This window comes from Homo sapiens, chromosome 2 (assembly GCF_000001405.40).
Source record: "Homo sapiens chromosome 2, GRCh38.p14 Primary Assembly".
Classification (NCBI taxonomy): domain Eukaryota; kingdom Metazoa; phylum Chordata; class Mammalia; order Primates; family Hominidae; genus Homo; species Homo sapiens.
Genome location: NC_000002.12, coordinates 164239364 through 164264032, shown reverse-complemented (window position 1 = coordinate 164264032; position 24669 = coordinate 164239364). Strand labels below are relative to the sequence as shown.

The 24669-nt window shown below is 36.9% G+C and overlaps 1 annotated feature.

Annotated features, from left to right (window-relative positions):
- Window positions 11022-11251: an enhancer, noted in NCBI's record as "active region_16725". NCBI's record gives its function as "activates an Ori minimal core promoter by ATAC-STARR-seq in GM12878 lymphoblastoid cells {active_cell/tissue: GM12878}" and the evidence as "EXISTENCE:reporter gene assay evidence [ECO:0000049][PMID:35858748]".

Here is a 24669-nt window from a genome sequence, read left to right as displayed (position 1 = left end):
TCTTTCCTGTTTTCTCTTGTGGGCATTTAGTGCTACAAATTTCCCTCTACACACTGCTTTGAATGTGTCCCAGAGATTCTCGTATGTTGTGTCTTTGTTCTCGTTGGTTTCAAAGAACATCTTTATTTCTGCCTTCATTTAATTATGTACCCAGTAGTCACTCAGGAGCAGGTTGTTCAGTTTCCATGTAGTTGAGCAGTTTTGAGTGAGATTCTTAATCCTGAGTTCTAGTTTGATTGCACTGTGGTCTGAGAGATAGTTTGTTATAATCTCTGTTCTTTTACATTTGCTGAGGAGAGCTTTACTTCCAAGTATGTGGTCAATTTTGGAATAGGTGTGGTGTGGTGCTGAAAAAAATGTATATTCTGTTGATTTGGGGTGGAGAGTTCTGTAGATGTCTATTAGGTCTGCTTGGTGCAGAGCTGAGTTCAATTCCTGGGTATCCTTGTTGACTCTCTGTCTCATTGATCTGTCTAATGTTGACAGTGGGGTGTTAAAGTCTCCCATTATTAATGTGTGGGAGTCTAAGTCTCTTTGTAGGTCACTCAGGACTTGCTTTATGAATCTGGGTGCTCCTGTATTGGGTGCATATATATTTAGGATAGTTAGCTCTTCTTGTTGAATTGATCCCTTTACCATTATGTAATGGCCTTCTTTGTCTCTTTTGATCTTTGTTGGTTTAAAGTCTGTTTTATCAGAGACTAGGATTGCAACCCCTGCCTTTTTTTGTTTTCCATTTGCTTGGTAGATCTTCCTCCATCCTTTTATTTTGAGCCTATGTGTGTCTCTGCACATGAGATGGGTTTCCTGAATACAGCACACTGATGGGTCTTGACTCTTTATCCAATTTGCCAGTCTGTGTCTTTTAATTGGAGCATTTAGTCCATTTACATTTAAAGTGAATATTTTTATGTGTGAATTTGATCCTGTCATTATGATGTTAGCTGGTGATTTTGCTCGTTAGTTGATGCAGTTTTTTCCTAGTCTCGATGGTCTTTACATTTTGGCATGATTTTGCAGCGGCTGGTACCGGTTGTTCCTTTCCATGTTTAGCGCTTCCTTCAGGAGCTCTTTTAGGGCAGGCCTGGTGGTGACAAAATCTCTCAGCATTTGCTTGTCTGTAAAGTATTTTATTTCTCCTTCACTTATGAAGATTAGTTTGGCTGGATATGAAATTCTGGGTTGAAAAATCTTTTCTTTAAGAATGTTGAATATTGGCCCCCACTCTCTTCTGGCTTGTAGGGTTTCTGCCGAGAGATCCGCTGTTAGTCTGATGGGCTTCCCTTTGAGGGTAACCCGACCTTTCTCTCTGGCTGCCCTTAACATTTTTTCCTTCATTTCAACTTTGGTGAATCTGACAATTATGTGTCTTGGAGTTGCTCTTCTCGAGGAGTATCTTTGTGGCATTCTCTGTATTTCCTGAATCTGAACGTTGGCCTGCCTTGCTAGATTGGGGAAGTTCTCCTGGATAATATCCTGCAGAGTGTTTTCCAACTTGGTTCCATTCTCCCCATCACTTTCAGGTACACCAATCAGATGTAGATTTGGTCTTTTCACATAGTCCCATATTTCTTGGAGGCTTTGCTCATTTCTTTTTATTCTTTTTTCTCTAAACTTCCCTTCTCGTTTCATTTCATTCATTTCATCTTCCATTGCTGATACCCTTTCTTCCAGTTGATCGCATCGGCTCCTGAGGCTTCTGCATTCTTCACGTAGTTCTCGAGCCTTGGTTTTCAGCTCCATCAGCTCCTTTAAGCACTTCTCTGTATTGGTTATTCTAGTTATACATTCTTCTAAATTTTTTTCAAAGTTTTCAACTTCTTTGCCTTTGGTTTGAATGTCCTCCCATAGCTCAGAGTAATTTGATCGTCTGAAGCCTTCTTCTCTCAGCTCGTCAAAGTCATTCTCCATCCAGCTTTTTCTGTTGCTGGTGAGGAACCGTGTTCCTTTGGAGGAGGAGAGGCGCTCTGCGTTTTAGCGTTTCCAGTTTTTCTGTTCTGTTTTTTCCCCATCTTTGTGGTTTTATCTACTTTTGGTCTTTGATGATGGTGATGTACAGATGGATTTTTGGTGTGGATGTCCTTTCTGTTTGTTAGTTTTCCTTCTAACAGAAAGGACCCTCAGCTGCAGGTCTGTTGGAATACCCTGCCGTGTGAGGTGTCAGTGTGCCCCTGCTGGGGGGTGCCTCCCAGTTAGGCTGCTCGGGGGTCAGGGGTCAGGGACCCACTTGAGGAGGCAGTCTGCCCGTTCTCAGATCTCCAGCTGTGTGCTGGGAGAACCACTGCTCTCTTCAAAGCTGTCAGACAGGGACATTTAAGTCTGCAGAGGTTACTGCTGTCTTTTTGTTTGTCCCCAGCCTCGCTGCCGCCTTGCAGTTTGATCTCAGACTGCTGTGCTAGCAATCAGTGAGACTCCGTGGGCGTAGGACCCTCCGAGCCAGGTGCGGGATATAATCTTGTGGTGCGCCGTTTTTTAAGCCGGTCCAAAAAGCGCAATATTCGGGTGGGAGTGACCCGATTTTCCAGGTGCGTCCGTCACCCCTTTCTTTGACTCGGAAAGGGAACTCCCTGACCCTTTGCACTTCCCAAGTGAGGCAATGCCTCGCCCTGCTTCGGCTCGTGCACGGTGCACGCACCCACTGACCTGCACCCACTGTCTGGCACTCCCTAGTGAGATGAACCCAGTACCTCAGATGGAAATGCAGAAATCACCCGTCTTCTGCATTGCTCACGCTGAGAGCTGTAGACCGGAGCTGTTCCTATTCGGCCATCTTGGCTCCTCCCTCTTTCATTTTCATGTTAGTCCAGACCACTAGAATATATTAGTCATTAGAAATAGTGTGCATAAAGACAATAGGCATCTCTGTCTTACTCCTGACCCATTGAATCTATCCATTTTCTAGTTTCTCTACTGGTGTAGGTTTTGGTATATCCCATTTTGCTAGACATCCTCTAATTTTATCCCCAATAATGCCTACCTTCTGGTATTTAGGCCATTGTGTATTCTTCTTGAGTGGGGAGCGAGCCGATTTATTCACTTATACATAGAATATGGCAGAAATGATGGGATATCCACTTCGGAGTTTAGGTTTTAAAAAGGCTGTTGCTTTAGTCTTTTTTGGCAAATGAGTACACTCTTTCATTTGCTCTGGGGGAAGTCAGCTATCATGTCATGAGGCAGCCCTGTGGACAGGTCGTCATGAGTGAGCTTCGAAGTAGACCTGTGGTCAGTCAAGAGTTAGGTGAATAAACTTGGAAGCAATTTGTCTTAGGTGTTTCAACATCAGTGTGAGTGCATTTGGAAATGGAACCTCCTATGGTGGAAGTTTGAGATGCCTACAACTGTGGCCAACATCTTAATCACAGCCTTGTGAAAGACTGCTGCAGAACCACCCACTTAATCTGCATTCACATTTCTGATTCATGGAAACTATGAGATAGTAAATGTTAGTTGTTTTAAACTGCCAAGTTTTGGGGTAATATGTTATGCAATAATAATAACTGACACATACATTTACCTACTCTTTTTTAAAAAAATCCTGCTCTTCCTAGCTTGCTAAAGATTTCTAAAATCGCCACTTCAGAAAAATCACATTTTAAAAAATAATGTGGTAAAATTTACTGAAATATTTGGATGTTAAGACATCCTTGCATTTCTCTGCATGATCATGACATATTCTAGTTAGTTAATATTTTCTTTAGAACTTTTACTTGCATGTTTATAAGTGAAAGCACTCATGATTTTGCTCACTTGCATTGTTTTAGCATTACAGTATCCCATAAATACGTGGGTTAACTTTTGGTCCCTTTCCATTTTCTTAAAAAAGAAAAAAGTTTATGAGACAAATGAAGTGTTCATTGAAAGTTTGGTTGAATTGACATGTAAAGCCATGTAGACCTAGATTTTTGAAGAAAGGGAGGTTTTGACTAAAATTAAAATTTTTGTAATATTTCGTAGTGATTTATTTTATCTTTTGCCAACTTTGGCATTTTATGTTTTCCTAGGAATATGTGCATTTCATATGGGCTTTCAAATTTTGTAATGTAGTTGTTCTAATACTTTATTAAAATCTTTTTTTGTGTCTTAATTATTTACCCCTTCTGTTCTGCATTGTGTTTATTTATATCTTTTCTCTTTTTTTCTTGATGAAGGCTTCCAAGTTCTTTCTTACTAATATTTTCAAAAATAGTTCTGTTTTTGTTCATTTTTTCTATTTTTATTGTCAGTTATAAATATTTTTCCCTTATCTCTCTCTCTCTCTCTTTTATTTTTTTTTTTTTTAAAAGGAGTCTTGCTCTGTTGCCCTGGCTGGTGTGGTGCGATCTTGGCTCACTACAACCTCCACATCCAGGTTTAAGCAACTCTCCTGGGCCAGCCTCCCAAGTAGCTGGAATTACAGACACCCACCACCACACCTGGCTAATTTTTGTATTTTCCATAGAGATAGGGTTTCACCATTTTGGCCAGACTGGTCTCAAACTGCTGAGACCACCATGAGCCATGAGCCACCATGAGCTCATGTGCCACCATGTCTGGTCCCTTATCTTTATTATTTATTTCATTTGTTTCTTTAGGCATTGCTATTTATAATCTCTTTCATCAAATATTTAGTTTGTTTATATTTAATTATCCTTATTTCCTGATATATGGATTTAAACTATAAATTCCCTATGTACTACTTCAGTTCTGTCCCACATATTTTGATATGCACTGCTTCTATTGTCATTATGTTATAAAATATTTCTTTATTACTCCGATCATTTCTTTTGAGCCCAAGGATTAATAGTATATAATTAATTTCTAAATATGTAAGAAATTAGAATTATCTTTCTGTATTAATTTAAAAGTTTATTGCACTGTGGACAGTGAACAAATGCATCATATTGACCCTTGAGATTTGCTGCGGCTGCCTTCATGACTAGATATATGATCTATTTTTTGCTAATGTTCTGTAATGCTCAAAATCAATAGGTATTCTTTGTGCATGTAGAGTTATATATATAATCTATTAACTCAAGCATATTGTTATTTTCTGATCTTTGATTTTTTGCATATAGTTTTGTCTAGTTGCTTTTATTGTTTCTGTGTGGAGTATGTTAAAATCTCAAAGTACAGTTTATTTTGCAGTTCTTTTAGTTGCTTGATATAACGCTATACAGTTATACCTTTTTTTTTCTTTTTTCTTTTTTTTTTGAGACAGAGTCTCTCTCTGTCGCCAAGCTGGAGTGCAGTGGCGCGATCTTGGCTAACTGCAACCTCCGCCTCCCAGGTTCAAGCGATTCTTCTGCCTCAGTCTCCCGAGTAGCTGGGACTACAGGTGCACGCCACTACACCCAGCTAATTTTTGTATTTTTAGTAGAGACGGGGTTTCACCGTGTTGGCCAGGATGGTCTCCATCTCCTGACCTCATGATCTGCTTGCCTCAGCCTCCCACAGTGCTGGGATTACAAGCCTGAGCCACCACACCCGGCCTACAGTTAACTTTATATATGTTAGAATGTTTGTAATGCTTATGTTTTATTTTTGTTGTTCTTTTTTCCAGATATAGCATCATTTTCCTTTTCTTATATTGTTTTGCTCTAAGTTTTATTTTATCAGATATTAAGATAACTACCAATATTTGTTGGTTGTTATTTGTCCAGTACATTTTTTCCATCTTTATTATATTTAAACTTTTTGGTTAAGTATGAGTATGGATTTAGAGTGTTTAAAAACTTTATTCAGGCTTTTTATATTGCTGAAACCTTTTAAGGGAGCTCATATCTCTTATAAAGGTTATATAAACATTATTCTGATAAAAAAATACATCCACTCAGCTCAGATGTAAGTGAAAATAGTCCATTTAGAAATGAAAAGACCATAATATTGCAGAGCTAGTTAATTGTCTAGGTTTGCAGGTTTATACAGTAAATTATTTAAAGAATGTCTCAAATTTCACTTGGTTTCATACCGTGGAGGCTGAACTTGAATCTGGTGTATTTCCCAGGTTTGTGAAAAGATGTGCAGATGTGAGTAAGAACTTGGAGCTCTTTGAGCCACCTGCTTAGTCATGGTAGTGCAACTGTTGAAAATATGGGCTCTATTAAAAATTCCTCAGTGAGCTATACCACGGAGTACTACCAGCTGGTAGTTTTCCTGGCATATAACTATGGTTCAGTGCCAGCTGCATTGAGGCAGGGCATGAAAAGCAAGATTGAATCCTAGAAGCCGGTAATTAGGTTCATGTGCAATGCTAGGTGACTGAGCTCTTTAAATGAGAAGGTTACAATTTGGAAGGAGACAGAAAAGAACCCGGAATAGAGTATAAAAACAAATATTTGGTAGATTCTTTTTTCTTCTCATGATTGGCTTTAATTGGATTTTTAACAAGTGTATATTAAAAGAAGCAAATTATTCATATTTCAGGCTGCCAGTGTAAGCTAGAATAGATATGTTTGCATGTGAATTATGATAGTTATATTTCCATTTGTCCTTCTTTGTTTAAACGCTGTTTAGATGTATTTTGAAGTTTTTAGAGTACCATGTGTTATTTTGAAAATATATCTTTGAATGCAACTTCTCCCTTGTGAATCAATAGTAATAAGTTAAATCAGAAAACACTGTTTCTCTTTAAAGCTTGGCCATTCTGGGGCAAGTTACAGGCACTTATTTTGATGTTTTACTTTCAAGTTGTCTAAGCAAATTGGAAATAGTGCATTGAAGGCACTTTCACATGTGATATCTGTTAAATGTCATTTACAATTTATGTATTCTTACACAGAATTTTCCCTTCTATCTTTGAAGACTGATAAATAAAATCTCTCCCCTGCTACTCATTTTTTTCCTATTTGGCAAAGGGAATATTGAAATATATCTTTTAATACTGTAGATAAACAAGGCTATTATTTTATTATTTTATTCATCAATTTCCAAAGGAATGTGACATTTTCCAGCAGCCTCCTTCTTTACAATTACATTTAGTTTGGCAGTGAGATGTGTTTATTTTTAATCCAAGTAATTTCTTCTAAAAATAAAATGCCTCTTAACCCCCACCCCTGAAGGTAAGTGGTAAATTGTACAATCATACTTTTTCATCTATGTGTGAGATATTTACATTAAATATGCATGTCATATATAATATATGCATAGCTGAAAGCAAAAACTGCCACAGTGTCAGAGAGGAATCATTTAAAGAATTTATTCCATAAAACATCTAAAACACTATAAAGAATTAACTAATCCTAATGCAAAGCAACACAAATATGCAGTTGGCACAGCTTATTTTTGGAAGGCAGGGTTTAAGTATATATATATACATATATATGTGTGTGTATATATATTATTTTCTCTCAGTAGATCCATATGTCTCATAATAAGCACACACTGCATGAGATGAAAAGGAGACTAAATACATACATGTATACATGTAATTTTTATGCTACTGCAGTTGAATGTATTGGCTTCATCACTTTAATTTTCTTACACCCTTGCTAGTTCGTTCAATACCTTTACTCAGTATAGGTCAGTCTAAATATGGTAAGATAGGGGATAAAAAGATTTTTTTTTAAATGGAAGAATTGCTCTGATCTGAGGTTCAGCTAATAAAATAAGATAAATCAGAGGCAGGGAGAGGATTGAAGATTTCAGTACATTTAATAAGAATGTCCTCTCATATTTGTAAAGCTCTTAACAGATTTCACCCTCTTCAGTAACCGCTGATATTGTAGATCTCAGAGAGAGTATTTTCAGTGGTGGAACCCTGGCTAATAGGAATTAAGAGATGAGTGAATGGGTAAAAAATCAAGGCAGGGAAAAGACTCTTCTTCTGAGACGTTTGCTATTAAGGAACAATATAAAGCAAAGATGACTGGAAAACCAAAAAAGGCACTTTGTTACACTATATTTTGATTCACTAGAATATATTTATGGGTAGAGGAGAAATGCATAAATGAGAAATTGAAGCATAAATATCGAGCTAGAGGAGAAAAGGATCGTGTTCTCTAATAGAGAGAGGGTAAAATGGGAAAAAGAATAAATAAATATGGAGAAACATTTTTAGTTTGGAATAAAAGCACCGAGGATGTCAATTTTGTGAGATTCTGTAATTACAGTCAGTAGCAGTGTTTCTCCCGAGAAAGAGAAGATTGAAAGACATTTAGAACCTGCTAGAGAAGTTTGTAATTGATGTTGTAGGAAACAGTATAGAAATTAAATAAGGGTTGCTGAAAAGTGCAGTTAAGTACTCAACTGACGCTGAAGTAAGTGGACTCTGTTTAGTGAATTTCACAGCAATTCCTGGCAAAGAGGGAGCAGGAGCTTAGATGGTGTGTGGTATCACTTACTTAGGGTTGAAGAAAATGTGAAACCCAGAGAATGTAAAAATTGTTATGTTAAAACAAACTATTAGAATTTCTATTTCATTTTGATTTTTAATCTCTGACAGGCAAGAGTAAAAATTTACAAGACTTAACCCCTGCAACCTGGCCACTCAGAGAAGGCATTGGCATCCTACCAAGTTCCATGGAAACCAGCTATCATCCAGTGCTTTAGGCAACTGATTCTGGTCAGTGACAAGGCTGAGACCCCAGCCCCACATTGTGCCAGGGAAGGAGCTGGTGCTTTATCAGCTGTGAAGGTTGATAGTGTGCTTTCTATATAATGAAGTTTCCATTACAAAGCTTGGATTCCAACTTCATCACCCCACCATTGAAGGGATTGCTGTATCCTTATCTGTGAGGACTGATAAACTATGGTTACAATATCACACAACTTCAAGTGCATGGCTGTTCTTCCACCTGATGACTGTGTCAGGAAAGAGGCTGGTTCTGCAAGGATAAGGTTGGAGTCAATATCTGGCCCGACATATTATTATTGTAATCTGACTATTTTTCATGCCTACGGAGGGTGGTTCTTCCCTGATCTTGCAGTTTAAAGGTTCCACAAAAGCCCAGGGCTTCTGTGATCCTCCCCAGAAGCCTGAGGTCTCGTCCTGAAAGATTTCTGTGTTCTTCCACAGCGTATGATGGGGCAAAGAGGCCTGAGCACCTGCAATGGATCCTACCTCCTTGAGTTTGCCCAGTGAATGCTGTTCTATCATTCTGGCATATGTGTGTGTTGCTTAGCCATTTTCCAATAATCTAAAAAGTCTAAAGACATCATCTCTAGCATGATGAATGGATCTTGGTGATTGGCTAACCAGAGAGAGGGAGATAAATCAGGACGGGCGGGGAATTGATTAGTTTTTACAATAAGCGGGTGTCAACGTACTAGGGAAAACAGGAAATCAGTAGGTATAAAGTGGTGGGAGAAGCATAAGGACAGGAGCCTGTAGTCAGGATAATTTCATGATTTGAACTCACACATGTAAACATTAGTGTATTATATCCAGGTTTAAACTGAAGAGCCAGGAGAAGTAATGAGAAGGCAGCATATTGCAAATCTGTTTTAAAAGTAGTGTAAAACTTACTATGTTAAAATTCTAAGAAGAGTTTATTGTCCACAAAGTTATTTATGGTATATATTTCTGGCAGATATTTCTTCTTAGTATTTTTTTGTTTATTATTTCTAGATTCTATTTTTGATAGGATTCTAGTAAATGGGAAAATGGATGAGTTGATGAAGCAAACCTACCACATAGTCTTCTAGAATTGAGGAAATTACAGCTCATCTACTGGACATTAAAAAAATATTGGTTATTACATTGTTGAGTTTAATTTCTTTATTGAATTACCTGGAAAAGATGTTCAGGGAAGTTCATCAAGACTTCATAACTTATGTTTGGGGCATAGACATTAGATACAATAGCACTATTAGTAGAAAATTATCTTGAATTAAGTTCTTTAGTGGTATTGGTTTTAATTTTGCTGGTAAAGTTGAGGCAAAATAAATCATACCACAAATATATTCTATGACACTTGTTATTAAATAAGTATTAAATGTTGATATAGTAGACAGAATATTAATAAAACTATTGTTGGCATAATCATTAGTGATATAAATTGTCATAAAAGGCTCAAGGAAAATCATTTTAAAAAATAAAAACATGTTAAGTACCTGAAGAGGAGATTATGTTTAGGATTTCTATGATTTGCTCATTGTAAATAAAAGTCAAATCAAATTGAGTATTTTCTCAGTTAAGGACATAATGTTTGAAATTAGGTGCATCTTGAAATTGATGGTACTTTCATTTTAATAACATCTTTATTTACTTACACTGTAATTCTAAATTTTTAGGATGCCCAGTTAGTGGTAGTGAAAACACCCTGTAAAATGTAATATTTTATATTTTACTTGTCACTTCAGTCTTAGAGTTATGTTGAATTGTCTGTAGAAATTAGCAAATGGAGATGATAGGATTATGGTCATTACAAATTTAAAGTAATCACACTTTAACATTTACTCTCACTCTAAGACTTCAAACAGCAAGTGGATATAGTCAAGTTGAAGATTTTTCTCTGAAATTTTTTAAGTAATAAGAAAACTGACCATCTAAACCACAAAATCAGCAAAACAAAAAGGGAAATGTGAATCTTTACTTCTCTCCGTAGATATGAATATCCCATGTGGATTTTTCTGGGTTGTCTGGATTGCAGGTTGTTGTGCTGACAGAATTTAAAAGTTTCCTTCCAGATTGACTTAAATCAGAACAAAATATCAGGTTCGGCCAGTGTGAGTTATAGTTTGTAACATTAGGCAAACATCAGAGAATTTAGCTGTGCTTTGGATTTGTTCACGTCTTATAGGTGTCTAAATTGTGATAACTTACAGTTGATAATTGTCAAAAAGTTTGAAATTGCAATATTTTTACTCTTGGTGAGAAGGAGGGAAAAATGAAGGATTTTTCATGTCTCTCAGATATATTGGCCTATTCTCCAAATGACAGGTTCCTGACTGATCAACTGTACCACCTGCTACTAAAGCTCAGTAATATTAGTCTCTGCAATGGTTTCATTCTCATCTCACACCTCAGAGATCTTGTGCTCAACCCCAGGCATCCCTTGTGTGTTTAAATCAGCTTAACGGCTCATACAGTGTGCTGATTTCCTTGTAGGCCTCTGTTTTCTCAAAAAGTGATCACCTTTTGCCAATGCCCTCAGGATTAAACAGGGCAGTCTGGTTTTCCTTTTCTGCATTGGCTATACCTTTGTAGTCAATAAAAGACTAACTAGAAAAGAATCAGCTGATGAGAGAATCAATCTTCTGGAAGCCTCCCCACAGTTTTCTCATCATTTTTGTGCCGTCTGTCATCTCAGATTGTAAAATGGAAACCAAAACTCAGTATGTGGGAAGACTTTTACTGCTCCTTGTTAACAAAAACAGTAAGACCAGGGGTTTTGATCTTATGAGTGTATAGGTAAACAGTAAGCTCTAAGTGCACACTCTTGAAGTGGCTTTTCTCTGTTTCTAATGGAGGTTTGCAAAGAATTATCAAAGTGGTATCAAAAAGGTCTCCTAACATACTGTAGTGTGGATATCCATTCTGAGGAGGTCAGGTTAAATCTGAAGGTCTTATAGACGATGATACTGGGGTACCTTGTGGTACAGCAAGCAATACAATATGTTTCTTAATAATAGTCAGAAAAATAGACAAATGTAAAACAGGATTTTTTTCTGCATATTTATATCAGGTTATATTGCATTAATTTATTTCTGTAGCAATACATTTTAAATGAAGTGACATTTTGTCTCATTTAACTTTTATTTGAACAACTTTATCTCACATAATTTGCTTTATTGTAGACTATTCAAAAATATCTGTGAAATACATTCAGATTACTTTGGCAGATAAAGGTTATTTCTTCATACACCCCATTGTATACATTTCCTCTGGCATCAGAGAATCTGAAAATAATTTTTGTCCTCCTTTTGCTTTATGATTTTCGATCATTTGTAACTTGAAAGCACAATGAGAAAAGTGAATTTGAACTTGCTAACTGATCCTATTAAAATACAAAATAGGGTCTGAAATTTGCTTTTTTTTTTTTTTCCTGTTCAGTTCAGGCTTTCAGTCAGTTATAATGCTATCAGAGCTGTTTAGTTTCTCCCTCTGGTAATATATAACATACCTTTAATAAAAATAAAAATACATTTTTAGTATCTTGAAAGGTGCAAAATCTATTGTAAATTCTTCTGAGATGCATCATATTATTGAATTATAAAGAAGCAGAATGATTTCATTACTTCTTTTCAATGTCATTGAAATAGCCCAATGATTAAATTGTTACTGCTTACTGGAACTGGGAGTATGGTTTGGTGAGAACAAGATTGGCATTTTTCTATTGCTTATTAGTTTACATGTTACTAGAAATTTGAGTATGTCAATATTGAAGATATTTAAAAATTTTTGGATCTGCATATGGATTTGTAAGGAAATAACAATACTACTTGAAGGGGAAAATACATTTATTCCATTTTTCTAAGTATCTGGAAAGTATTTCAATTTGAATCATATATGAAGTTTGGCCCTAAAATAAAAACTGGGTGATCGAATATTATTAGTTCATCATTTTATTGTTCTTATCATTAATATTGGTTGACTATTCATAACGTTCTTACCATTACTGTTGACTGGTTTCTCATAAAGTGTATAATCATTTCCTGGAAAATATGTAATTTTGTAGTATTTTTGATAATGCAAAATATCTAAGCTTAATCAAATAATCTGAAGCAAATTAGTCACAATATACTTATACTTTCTATATTTTCAAGCTAGTTCTCTCAATATTTGATATTTTCTCTTTTTCTCATTGTAAATTATCCTTGGGAGTTTGAGTTTAATCTTTATTTTATTTAGTTTTTTTCCCCCAGTCACTTACTATAGCTAAGATTTCCTGAGAAAATAAGGCAGACACCTTTTTGTTTCTGGTAGCCCATACCTTAACATTACTTTTAGTGTTGCTTTTTCACAAAGAATCTAAATGCTATAATGGCAGGTCACCTGTCATATCTTAATGGCATCTCCTATATCTGACACATAGAAAGTGCTTAATTAATAGCTATTGATTCAATAAAAGATGGAACTGATAGAGGATGCTTATATCTGAGAAACCTAGAAATTCTCAGGTATCTTAATACCTAGGCTGTAAAAGCTGTTATGGCATGTGCTACTATTGCGTGCAAAATAGTATTACTGTTTTCAAGGTGTTTGCCAAAAATAGCTTTTGCATTAAGAGCAGTGAATTGGGATGGAGAAATATTACAAGGATTCTCTTCTTTATGTTACATATCTTTTCTCTACTCAAGGAAGGACACTTCTATAAAAGACGGAGTTGGTTGTACTTCCCATGAAACCATTATTGAAGACACACATTTGCATAACAGCAATGAGAGAAAAAGTGAGTAATTCAGTCAATGATATTATATTCAAGTTTTTATGTCCAATATATTTTAGCTGATTTTTAACAAGTGTTTGTTTTAATGTTGTATACACAAACTGATGGTGATGCTATCCAAATAAATATTATATCATGTGCCACATAATGACATTTCTGTCAGTCATGAGCTGCATGTACAACGGTGGTCCCATGAGATTATAATATTATATTTTTACGGTACCTTATCTGTGTTTAGATACACAAATACTTGCCATTGTGTCACAATTGCCTGCAGTATTCAGTACTGTAACATGCTGTACAGGTTTGCAGCCTAGGAGCAACAGTCTATATACCACGTAACCGAGGTGTGTAGTGGGCTATACCATCCAGGTTTCTGTAAGTACACTCTATGATGTTTGCACAAGTAAATTGCCTAATGACGCCTTTCTCAGAACATATCCCAGTGACATATGTCTATACTTAACTGAACTTTAGTTAGGGAATGAGTGGCTACTCACATTGGCATCTTGTAAATATTAGGTTGCTCTCAGTATTGCTGTCAATGTAGATGGAATAGGGCATAGAATTAAGCATTCTAGACAAGGGGAAAATAGCAAGCCTACTGTGAAATTACATATATATATAACAGGGAATATATACATTCTATGCAAAAGTGTCCTTTTTAATTTTATAACTAAGTAAGATATATCTTACTTAAATAAATGAATAAAAACATCAGTGAAAAATTTGCATGCTTAATGATTTTGGTACCAATTTCAGAAAAATTACTATAATATTCCACATCATTCTACTGTTTGACAGGGATCTGTGCTTTTCTTTTCCAACTGCATATAGTTTTCATATCTAATGCCCTTGTCTTCAAATTTTTCATCTTCCGGTAAGTGAAAATTGATTGTACTGTTTAAAGTACTGTGTCCAGCCAATATAACTAAGCCTTCAAACCTACATAGAATCCTTGATAAGAATTTAGTATTCAAAATTCTATTACTTCCTTTTACTGTTGCTATGGTAAACTCATGAGACATTAGCAGTTTGCCTGGAATAAGACAAGTACAAGTTATAAATTAATAAAGAAAGCATATGTAGTAATAGAGGCATTGGTGATATCTGATCATGAGTAACTCGTAATTATGTTATTTATATAATCATAATGTATATAAATAATTACAATAATGTATTGCATATTAATGCAATAGTAAAATAAAATATTTATTCACCTTTCACCCTGTTTCAAAATAAGAATTTAAAGCCATATGTGAAGAGCCATACAACAAAATATAAAAGAGCTTTTAAAAGTTGAATGAATTGAGGCAAAGAAAAAAAATAAGATATAGAAAAAAAACATTAAATCTGTAGCGAAATTTGGTACACAAAATGTAGGATAAATTTGCTACCCTAGTAGAGATGAGTCACACGTTGGCTTTAAGCTTCCAAGTGGCATATATATTTTTATATATATATATAATTACAAGTTACATAATTCATAATATCCATCATATAAAAATAATCTAGTTGCCTTGGCAACACAGAGATACTGATAACAAAGGTAAAGTGGGTCTCCACTGAGTAGGCACTGTCTAACTTAGGGAATATTGTCTACAGGGAATAGAGTAACCAGTTTCATATGGCTACTTCTTATGATATTCCTTAGTAGATGTTGATGACATCTTAGAAAATTATAATTTATAGAAAGGTATTTTATAATTATGTAAATATGTTTATGTTAATGTTAGCCAATACCCTTACAGAGAGTGGAATTATGCAGGATCCTTGTCAATTACACTCAAAATTAAGAAGAGAGGTAAAAGGAAAGAAATGCATTGTTCCCTCCTGTAGATACAAACACCCTGGAAGTGGTTCTTAACCTGAGGTTCAGGAACTAAGGGACCTATGCATGGAATCCAAGGGGTCACAAACATGGTGGGAATAATTACATCTTAATTTTTACTAGCCCCTAATTGAAAATTAGCATTTCTTTCAATTATGAATGTAGGTAAAATCCATTGTAATCTTAGCTGTACCTGGGCCTTTTTTATATATAGAAATAACAGACATTTTCATATCACATTATAGTTGAGGATGCATCAAAATATTGTTCATGCTTATCCTTATTGAGATATTTAGTAGTTATTAGACCAACCACTTAATCTTGATATTTAATGTATTAATAATAAAGCATATATAAGGGTATCATATGAATTCGTTCTTCTAATATTTTGGTTAACTATGTTTTAATATAAGTTGTTTTTCTTTGTAGTCATATTTTTAAAAATAAAATATTATCAAATGAGTTATTCATAAACCTTGGAGTGTAACCACAAGGGCCTATGGTCCAAGATGACTGAGAGGCAGACCACAAGAGACCTAGGTTCCTGACTGGTCTTCTGCCAGCCTCACTACTAAACCATTACTGGGTGTATTTGTTTTCTAATTCCACAGTAACAAAGTACCACACAAATTAGGTGGTTTTAAAAGACAGAAACGTATTATCTCACATTTCTGTAGGTTAGAAGTCCAAAATCAAGGTGCCGAGAGGGCCACGCTCCCTCCAAAATTTCTGAGGAAGTATCGTTGTTTGCCTTTTATAGCTTCTAGGAACTCCTAGGCATTTCTCGTCTTGTAGATGTATTACTCCAAAACATACCTTCCTCTCACATACTCACGTGGAATTTTCTGTGTGTGCCTGTGTCTTCACATGGTCTTTTCTCTTTTTATAAGGACAACAGCCATACGGGATTGAGGGCCCACCCTACTCCAGTATGACCACATCTTAACTAATTACAACTGCAATGACGTTATTTCCAAGTCAGATCACATTCACTGGTATGCAGGTTTAGACTTCCGTATATATTTACTGGGGGCACACAATTCAACCCCATGCACTTGAGAAAAATATCATTTCTATATCTGAAGTAATTCTATTCTGTGGTCTCTGTTTCACGAACTTAGCCTATACCCAAACAGATATACTTTACAACCAAAATTAAGATGAATTCGATGTTAGTTACAGAACTCTTGTGAGGTACTGATAGTTTTTTTCAGTCTATGATCACTGTGTTCTCTGGCCAACTGACAAAGTAATTCCTCTAGGGCAATCCAGCGTACATCTTGTTTTTGTTAATAAAATTGTATTGGAGTATAATCACATTCATTCATGCATGTATTATCTATAGCTGCTTTAACATTACAATGGCAAAATTGTGTAGCTGCAATAGAGACTGTATAGCCCACAAAGCCTAACATATTAAGTATCTGACTCTCTGTAAAAAATGCTTGCTGACACCCTCCCTAGGACATAAGAGAGATGACCAAGAGGTTTGTCTTATTTTACCATGTGTTTTTTGTATTACGAGGGTATAGGAATCTTATTAAATCAGAACTCAAAGAATAAACCAGATAAGATAACATGAACTAGACCATAAACTGAGCCTACAAATTGCTCAAAACACATTTCTAGTTATAGGACACATTTACCTGTCATTGAGATCAATTATCTAAAGATAACAATAGGAAGAAAGCACACAGTTTCCAAGTTTCCTTAATAATAAGAAAGCAACAGTAAATTAAAACTCGCTTGTAATAGGGGAAAATGGTTATTTCAAATCAAGAGAGTGAAATTCTAACAAGAACAATCATTGGTATAACTGTATGATATTTTTTACTTCCACTAGCATTATTAATGGGACTACCATTTGACCTGACAATGAGAATAGCTTCCCTTGTGGCATTTTGGCAGTTCTATTTCTGTTCTTTGAGAAATAAGGAACAGACAAAGGATAAAAGTCTTTGCTTGAGCTGCTGAAACAATAACATAATGTGAAGAATTTCCAGTTACTTCAGAGCTCAAAGGACCCCATTTTTATGGCTTCTTGAGAACTGGAAGTGTGATGGACACTCACAGAAAATACCTTAGTTCCCTTTAAATCAGCAGTCATGTGGGGGAGTATCACTGCATGTGGGATCCTATAGACAAATGAGTGTAGCAAGGAAATTTCCTTTGGAAAGAAAAATCATGTGAAGCAATAACAAAAGACCACAGACTAGAGCTGAATATCAGATATTTGGGGTGTTTTGCAGCAGGAATAGGAACTTTGCCAATCATAGGCTCAGCTAAGTTACTACAAGCACAAGGACCTTATTGTCATGGCCATACACCTTCTGAATCATACACCTCCTGTTAAAAGGATTCTACTTTAGAATGTCTTGGTGATTCTTTGATGAATAGTTTTTAATATGCTGGGGAGAAAAACAGAAATGACAATATAGTTGACACAGGTTCAAGAATAGGATTAGGGCACCAAGGGTTGCCCTAATGCCAGAACTTAGCAGATCTTAAAAAAAATTACTAGCAAACTTAAGTCCAAAATCATGACAGACATTTCAAATGGGGAGACATTCTCCTACTGCCACCCTGTTATTGCCTGAAGTTATGGTATCCCTTGATCTAGCCTGTAATGAGCTATTACTTTGTAAGGAATGTTTTCTTTCGTCATTGTCTTTTCAATTCCTCCCATTTCCATCCTCTCCTTCTCCTCTTCTGACTTGTCATTGTGTTTGAATGCTTTCATCTGCAGAGAGATGTGATAAAATATTACTACACACAAAATGTGTAAAGATGTGAAAAAGTACAAGAAAGGCCTCATTAGATGTTTTTCTAAACTCTATAGTAAAGAAAGTAAATTTTAAATGAGAATGGAATAACATTTAGCACAGATACTTGAAGAATAGCATATTTTACTCTAAATAACTTACTCAAGGAAGTCACACACCGGATTTGAAAGTTCATGGAGCCTCCTTACAAAGGCAGACCAAGCATGCGGTGTACACACCCGGATCTTGAAAAAAGAATCAATAAGAGTAAGGAGAGTGAGCTAAGCCAAAGGAATGAACAAACTGTGGAGGAAGGAAAGTAAAAGAGTTTTGAAGAACTGATGAGTAGAACATTCAAGAGTAGGAAAGGGCTTGATGATGAAAAACAATTTTGGAAAGAAAAGTAGAAATCAGACTATAAAAGAACTCAGATGCTTATTTAATATAATTTAGCAAACATTTATTGTGCCCTGTTGAAAATGCTCTTGGAGCAATGATGCATAAGACACGGCCTGGTGGCAGAGACAGGCAGATAAACAAAATTTCAATTCAAAATGGTAGGAATTAAGACAGAAGTGTGCTCAGCCTAGGTATGATAATACAGAGAGTAGATACTTCAAAGAAAAGTTCCTGGCCAGGTGCAGTGGCTCATGTCTGTAATCCCAACACTTTGGGAGACCAAGGCAGGTGGACTGCTTGAGCTCAAAAGTTCAAGAATAGCTTGGGCAACATGGCAAAACCCCCATATCTGCAAAAACAAACAAAAATTAGCTGGGTGTGGTGGCACATACCTGTAGTCCCAGCTACTCAGGAGGCTGAGGTGGTAGGATCACTGCACCAGCCCAGGAAGGTTGAGGCTGCATTGAGCCATTGACCCATGATTGTGCCAGTGCACTCCAGCCTAGGGGACAGAACGAGACCTTGTGTCAAAAAAAAGAGAGAGAGAGAGAAAGGAAGGGAGGGAGGGAGAGAGGAAGGATGTAAAGAAGGAAGAAAGGAAGGAAGGGAGGGAAGGAGGGAGGGAGGGAGGAAGGAAGGGAAACAGGAGGAAGGAAGGAAGGAGGGAAGGAAGGAAAAGTTCCTGGAGGAAATGATGCCTGGGACAAGCTCTAGAAACTGCATGTAAGCCACCTAGCTTAGAAAGTTGGAAATAGCCTCTTAAGCAGAAAGGCCAGAATGAAAAATATAAAATAACAAGGAGACAGAGAAGCACCAGCAATCTGGTACTACTGGGGCAATAAGGGGTGAAATCAGCTTAGAGATTCTAGAAAGAGATAGGTCTTTGAGTCCTTGCATGACTATTTAAGAAATAGGCCTATCCTACTTATCCTCAGTAAGCCATAGACAATGGAGAGATATTAGGGGTTTCAGGGTGATGGTCACATACTAGATCATTCTGACTATAGAGTGGATAATAATTTAAAGACAGCAGAGCTACAAGCACATAGAAAAATCTGAAGGCTCCGGCATTATAGATGAGAAAAAGGAGGGAGAATTTACCAGATTGGTGGCTCTAAGTCTTGGAAATTCAACAGGACCATAGTTTTTATGTCTGAGGGATTTATGGCACCATGAATAAGGAAAAGGAAGTCAAAGAGCTTTTTAAATTTTATAACATAATGAGAAATTCAAGTTTTGACTCAGAGACACTGAGTGTATGGTGCTTGTAAATATTTATATTATCATTATTATTTGTATATAAAATATTGATCTGATATATGGACTCACCTCAAGTTTAAAGTGACAGGACAATCAGTGAAAATGTTGAATACACAGTTGGAAATTCAGCTAGAGCATTTGGCAGACTGATAATTAGTCATAGGTCTTAAGATCATATCCCAGAAAAATCATACAAATTTCTGAAGTACACATGGAAAAGAATATTTGGAGTTTAGTTTTCCTTCAGGTGTGGTAGAAAAGACCATTTCAAGGTAGCAATTGTGTCAATATACTGAGCATTCTATTACAATTTTGCCGAATAGACTTGCTTTGGAAACCAACTACAGAAATCAGAAATGTTGTCTACTTGTTTTCTGTGAAAATTTTAGGCTTCTCTCCCATGCAGTAATTTCCATCATTTCATTATTAGAAAGCCAGCTTTCACTCTCCTCTCTCAATAATACCTTGATTGTGACCATGCAAGCAACTACTTTCCAGTAGTCTTGGAAAATTGTGAAGATACTTGGATGCCAGAGACTCTTTTCTTACTACTAAAATATGAGCTTCTAAAAGGTAGAGGATGGCTATTACTTCTCTCTCCTGCCATGGCCAAGGACAGTGAATTTGAAGCCAATAAGTGCTTTTTGAGTAAATGTATTAATTTATAAATTAATGACTCCTTAATAGTACAGTATTAAACAAAAACATTTCTAATCACTTATAGACATTTGACTGCTTTATTTAATGCTTTCTATATCTTGCATCTGACCACTCTTTCTGGGTAAACAAATGTCTCAAATAACTGAAGCTAATCTCTCAAACCACTGTATTTTACCTACTTTTGATAAGCATCTTTTCAAAATTGTATTACATACTATAGATAAGAGCATAAGCTTGAATTAATTTAACCATTTCATGATGACTCAAGTCCATTATAATAAGCATTAATCATTGTAATTTACAGCAAAACAATGCAGACCTTAGGGACCATTGAGTTGGGCAGAACAGGTTATGCTTAATATCTAATGGACCTAAATTGCTGTATTTTTCTGGTTGGTCTTCTGTTCTCTACTGCTTTTCTTCTGTCACCTGTCACTTTTAGTTGCTAGGGAAACCAGACAACCACATTTGTTAAAACAGTAAACTTAATTTTAGACATGTAACACCTGAATCAGTGCATTTGTTACATGGATTCTCCCAAGTAATTCATTTCATGGAACATTGCCAGTTGACATATTCCTCTTTCCTAGCACTCTTGGAAATATCTAAAATGAGAAATAGTCTTTTTGGAAATATTAATATATCTAATTAATATAAATTCATAACTCACATATAAAATACTGTTGTGGTTTGGAATAGACACTGAGAATTTTTGTATAATTCTCCCTTCTCTATAAATGTTGACAATGTATTCCTTTACTAGACTGATGTAGAACACTCTGTGTGTGTGTGTGTGTATGTGTGAGTGTGTGTGTGTGTGCGTGTGTGCGTGTGTGTATATGTAAAACTGTCCCTGCTTTGGAATTCAGAATATTTATCCTAACTCCACAGTACTTTCTATTCCTCTCAAATTTATATCTGAGATATTTTCCTTAGGATAAACTCCTAAATAATTTTCCAAGGTCAATTTTTGAGATACAAGACAGCATACTCAACAATGATCTTTCAGTTCTCTTTAACTAAATGACCATTTTCCCCATCTGCCCTAGCGTAACCTTCCTTCCACTTACTTTGGCATGCCTGAAATCTGCAAGCCGCATGATCTGTAAGCAATTTTCTATCTCTTCAACTGCTAGTTTTGGGGCTGCCAATAATCTAGATGCTGCTAGATCCAACTTTCCAGTCTCAGTCTTTGTCTTACTTGACTCATCTACAGGATGTGGCAAAGTTGACCACTCTTTTCTCTTGCAAGCAAGCTTCTTCTCTTGGTTTTCAGGACCTCATCCTGTTTCGATTTTCTTCCTACCAGATGGACTGCTCCCACTAACTCCCCTTTGTTGGTTCTACAACCTCTGCAAAATTTGGAAATGTTGTAATATCTCAACATTCTTACATTGGACCTCCTTTCTGTTTATATTGATTCCTTGGATGACTTTATGCACCCATAAATTTAAATATTATTTCTATGCTGATAATTAACTACCAAATTTGTATCTCAAACTGTGCTTCTAATATTGAACATCAATGGCATATTTATTGTCTTTGCTTGGATGTCAAAAATGGACCTCTAAATTTAATAGGTTTTGAAACAAATGCCTGATTTTCTCTCGTAAAAGGTCCTCTGTTTTTCTCATCTCAGGATATAGCAACTCCATTCTTCTATTGCTGTGGGCTAAAATGTTGGGAAAAGTGCTTATCACTCTCTTTCTCTTAAATTTCACAACCAATTCTTCAGCAAATCTTACGAGTGTTACCTTAGAAATATATGCAGCATCTGATATGGTTTGGCTGTGTCCCCACCCAAACCTCATCTTGAATTCCCACATGTTGTGGAAGGGACCTGGTAGGAGGTAATTGAATCGTGGGGGCAAGTCTTTCCTATGCTCTTCTCATGATAGTGAATAAGTCGCATGAGATCTGAAGGTTTTAAAAAGGGCAAGCTCTCCCTTTGCCTGCTGCCATCCATGTCAAATGTGACTTGCTCCTCCTTGCCTTCCACCATGATTGTGAGGCTTCTGCAGTCACATGGAACTGTCAGTCCATTAAACCTCTTTCTTTTGTAAATTACCCAGCCTTGAGTGGGTCTTTATCAGCAGCATGAAAACAGACTAATACAGTAAATTGGTACCAGTAGAATGAGGCACTGTTGAAAAGATACCCCAAAATGTGGAAGTGACTTTGGAACTGAGTCACAGGCAGATGATGGAACAGTTTGGATGGCTCAGAAGAAGACAGGAAAATGTGGGAAAGTTTGAAACCTCCTAAAGACTTGTGAATGGCTTTGACAAAAATGCTGATAGTGACATGAACAGTAAGGTCCAGGCTGAGGTGTTCTCAGATGAAATGAGGAACCTGTTGGGAACTGGAGCAAAAGTAACTCTTGCTAAGTTTTAGCAAAGAGACTGGTGGCATTTTGCCCCTGCCCTAGAGAATAGTGAAACTTTGAACTTAAGAGAGATGATTTAGAGTATCTGGCAGAAGAAATTTCTAACCAACAAAGCATTCAAGAGGTTACTTGGGTGCTGTTAATAGCATTCTGTTTTAAAAAGGAAACAGAGCACAAAACTTAGAAAAATTTGCAGCCTGATGATGCAGTAGAAAAGAAAAACCCATTTTCCGAGGAGAAATTCAAGCCAGCTCCAGAAATTTGCATAAATAACAAGGAGCAGAATGTTAATACCCCAGACAATGGGGAAAATGTCTCCAGGGCACGTCAGAGGTCTTCATGGCAGCCCCTCCCATCACAGACCTGGAAGCCTAGGAAGAAAAAATGGTTTAGTGGGCCAGGCCCAGGGTCCTCATGCTGTGTGCATTCTACTGGACTTGGTGCCCTGCATATCAGCCACTCCAACTATTAATAAAAGGGGCCAAGGTAAAGCTCGGCCCATGGCTTCAGAGGATGTAAGCCCCAAACCTTGGCAGCTTCCATGTGGTGTTGGGCCTGTGGGTGCACAGAAGTCAAAAATTGAGGTTTGGGAAACTCCGCCTAGATTTCAGAGGATGTATGGAAATGCCCAGACGTTCAGGCAGAAGTTTGCTACAGTGGTGGGGCCCTTATGGAGAAACTGCTAGGGCAGTGCAGAAGGGGAATGTGGGGTCAGAGCCCCCACACAGAGTCCCTACTTGGGCACCACCTAGTGGAGCTGTGAGAAGAGGGCCACCATCCTCCAGACCCAGAATGGTAGATCTACTGACAGCTTGCACCATGAGCCTGGAAAATCCACAGACACTCAACACCAGCCTGTGAAAGCAGCCAGGAGGGAGGCTGTAACCTGCAGAGCCAGAGAGGCAGAGCTGCCCAAGACCATGGAAACCCACCTCCTGCATCAGTGTGACCCAGATGCAAGACATGGAGTCAAAGGAGATCATTTTGGAACTTTAATATTTGACTGCCCTGCTGGATTTTGGACTTGCATGGAGCCTGTATCCCCTTTGTTTTGGCCAATTTCTCCCATTTGGAACAACTGTATTTACCCAAGGCCTATACCACATTGTATCTAGGAAGTAACTAACTTGCCTTTGATTTTACAGATTTATAGGTGGAAGGGACTTACCTTGTCTCAAATAAGACTTTGGATTGTGGACTTCTGAGTTAATGTTGAAATGAGTTAAGACTTTGGGGGACTGTTGCGAATGCATGATTAGTTTTGAAATGTGAGGACATGAGATTTGGGAGGGGCTTGGGTGAAATGATATGATTTGGCTGTGTCCTCACGCAAATCTCATCTTGAATTCCCACTGTTTGTGGGAGGGACCCAGTAAGAAGTAATTGAATCATGGGGAAGGTCTTTTGGGTGCTGTTCTGGTGACAGTGAAGAAGTCTCATGAGATCTGATGGTTTTAAAAAGGGGAAGCTCTATTTTTGCCTGCCACCATCCACGTAAGACGTGACTTGCTCCCCCCTTGCCTTATGTCATGATTGTGAGGCTTCCCCAGCCATGTGGAACTGTGAGTCCATTAAACCTCTTTCTTTTGTAAATTGCCCAGTCTTGGATATGTCTTTATCAGCAGCATGAAAACAGACTAACACAGCATCTTACCAGATACCTGCTGCTCCCGCCCTTGCCATCCTGGTCCAAACTGCTGTACCTCTTACTTAGACCACAGCAATAGCCTCATAGAACATATCTAAGTTTCTACCACTACCTTCAAAAGTCCAATTTGCTCCCAGATGCCAGAGTGATCTTAAAAAAAAAAAACTTCAGATAATTTATATGCACTTCTTTTTTCACTCTTCATTGGTTTTCTGCTAAGGTGGAAAAAAAAATAAAAAACCCTTGTCATGTCCCATAAAGTGCTGTGTAATCTGGACATTTGATTCATCTGTAATCTCATTAACTACCAAGTGTCTATCTCCCAACTGGATGCAACCACACTGGCCTCTTGCTTTTCCTCAGAGATACCAAGTACAGCTTTTGTGTTTGCTGCTCTCTCTTCTACCCCATCA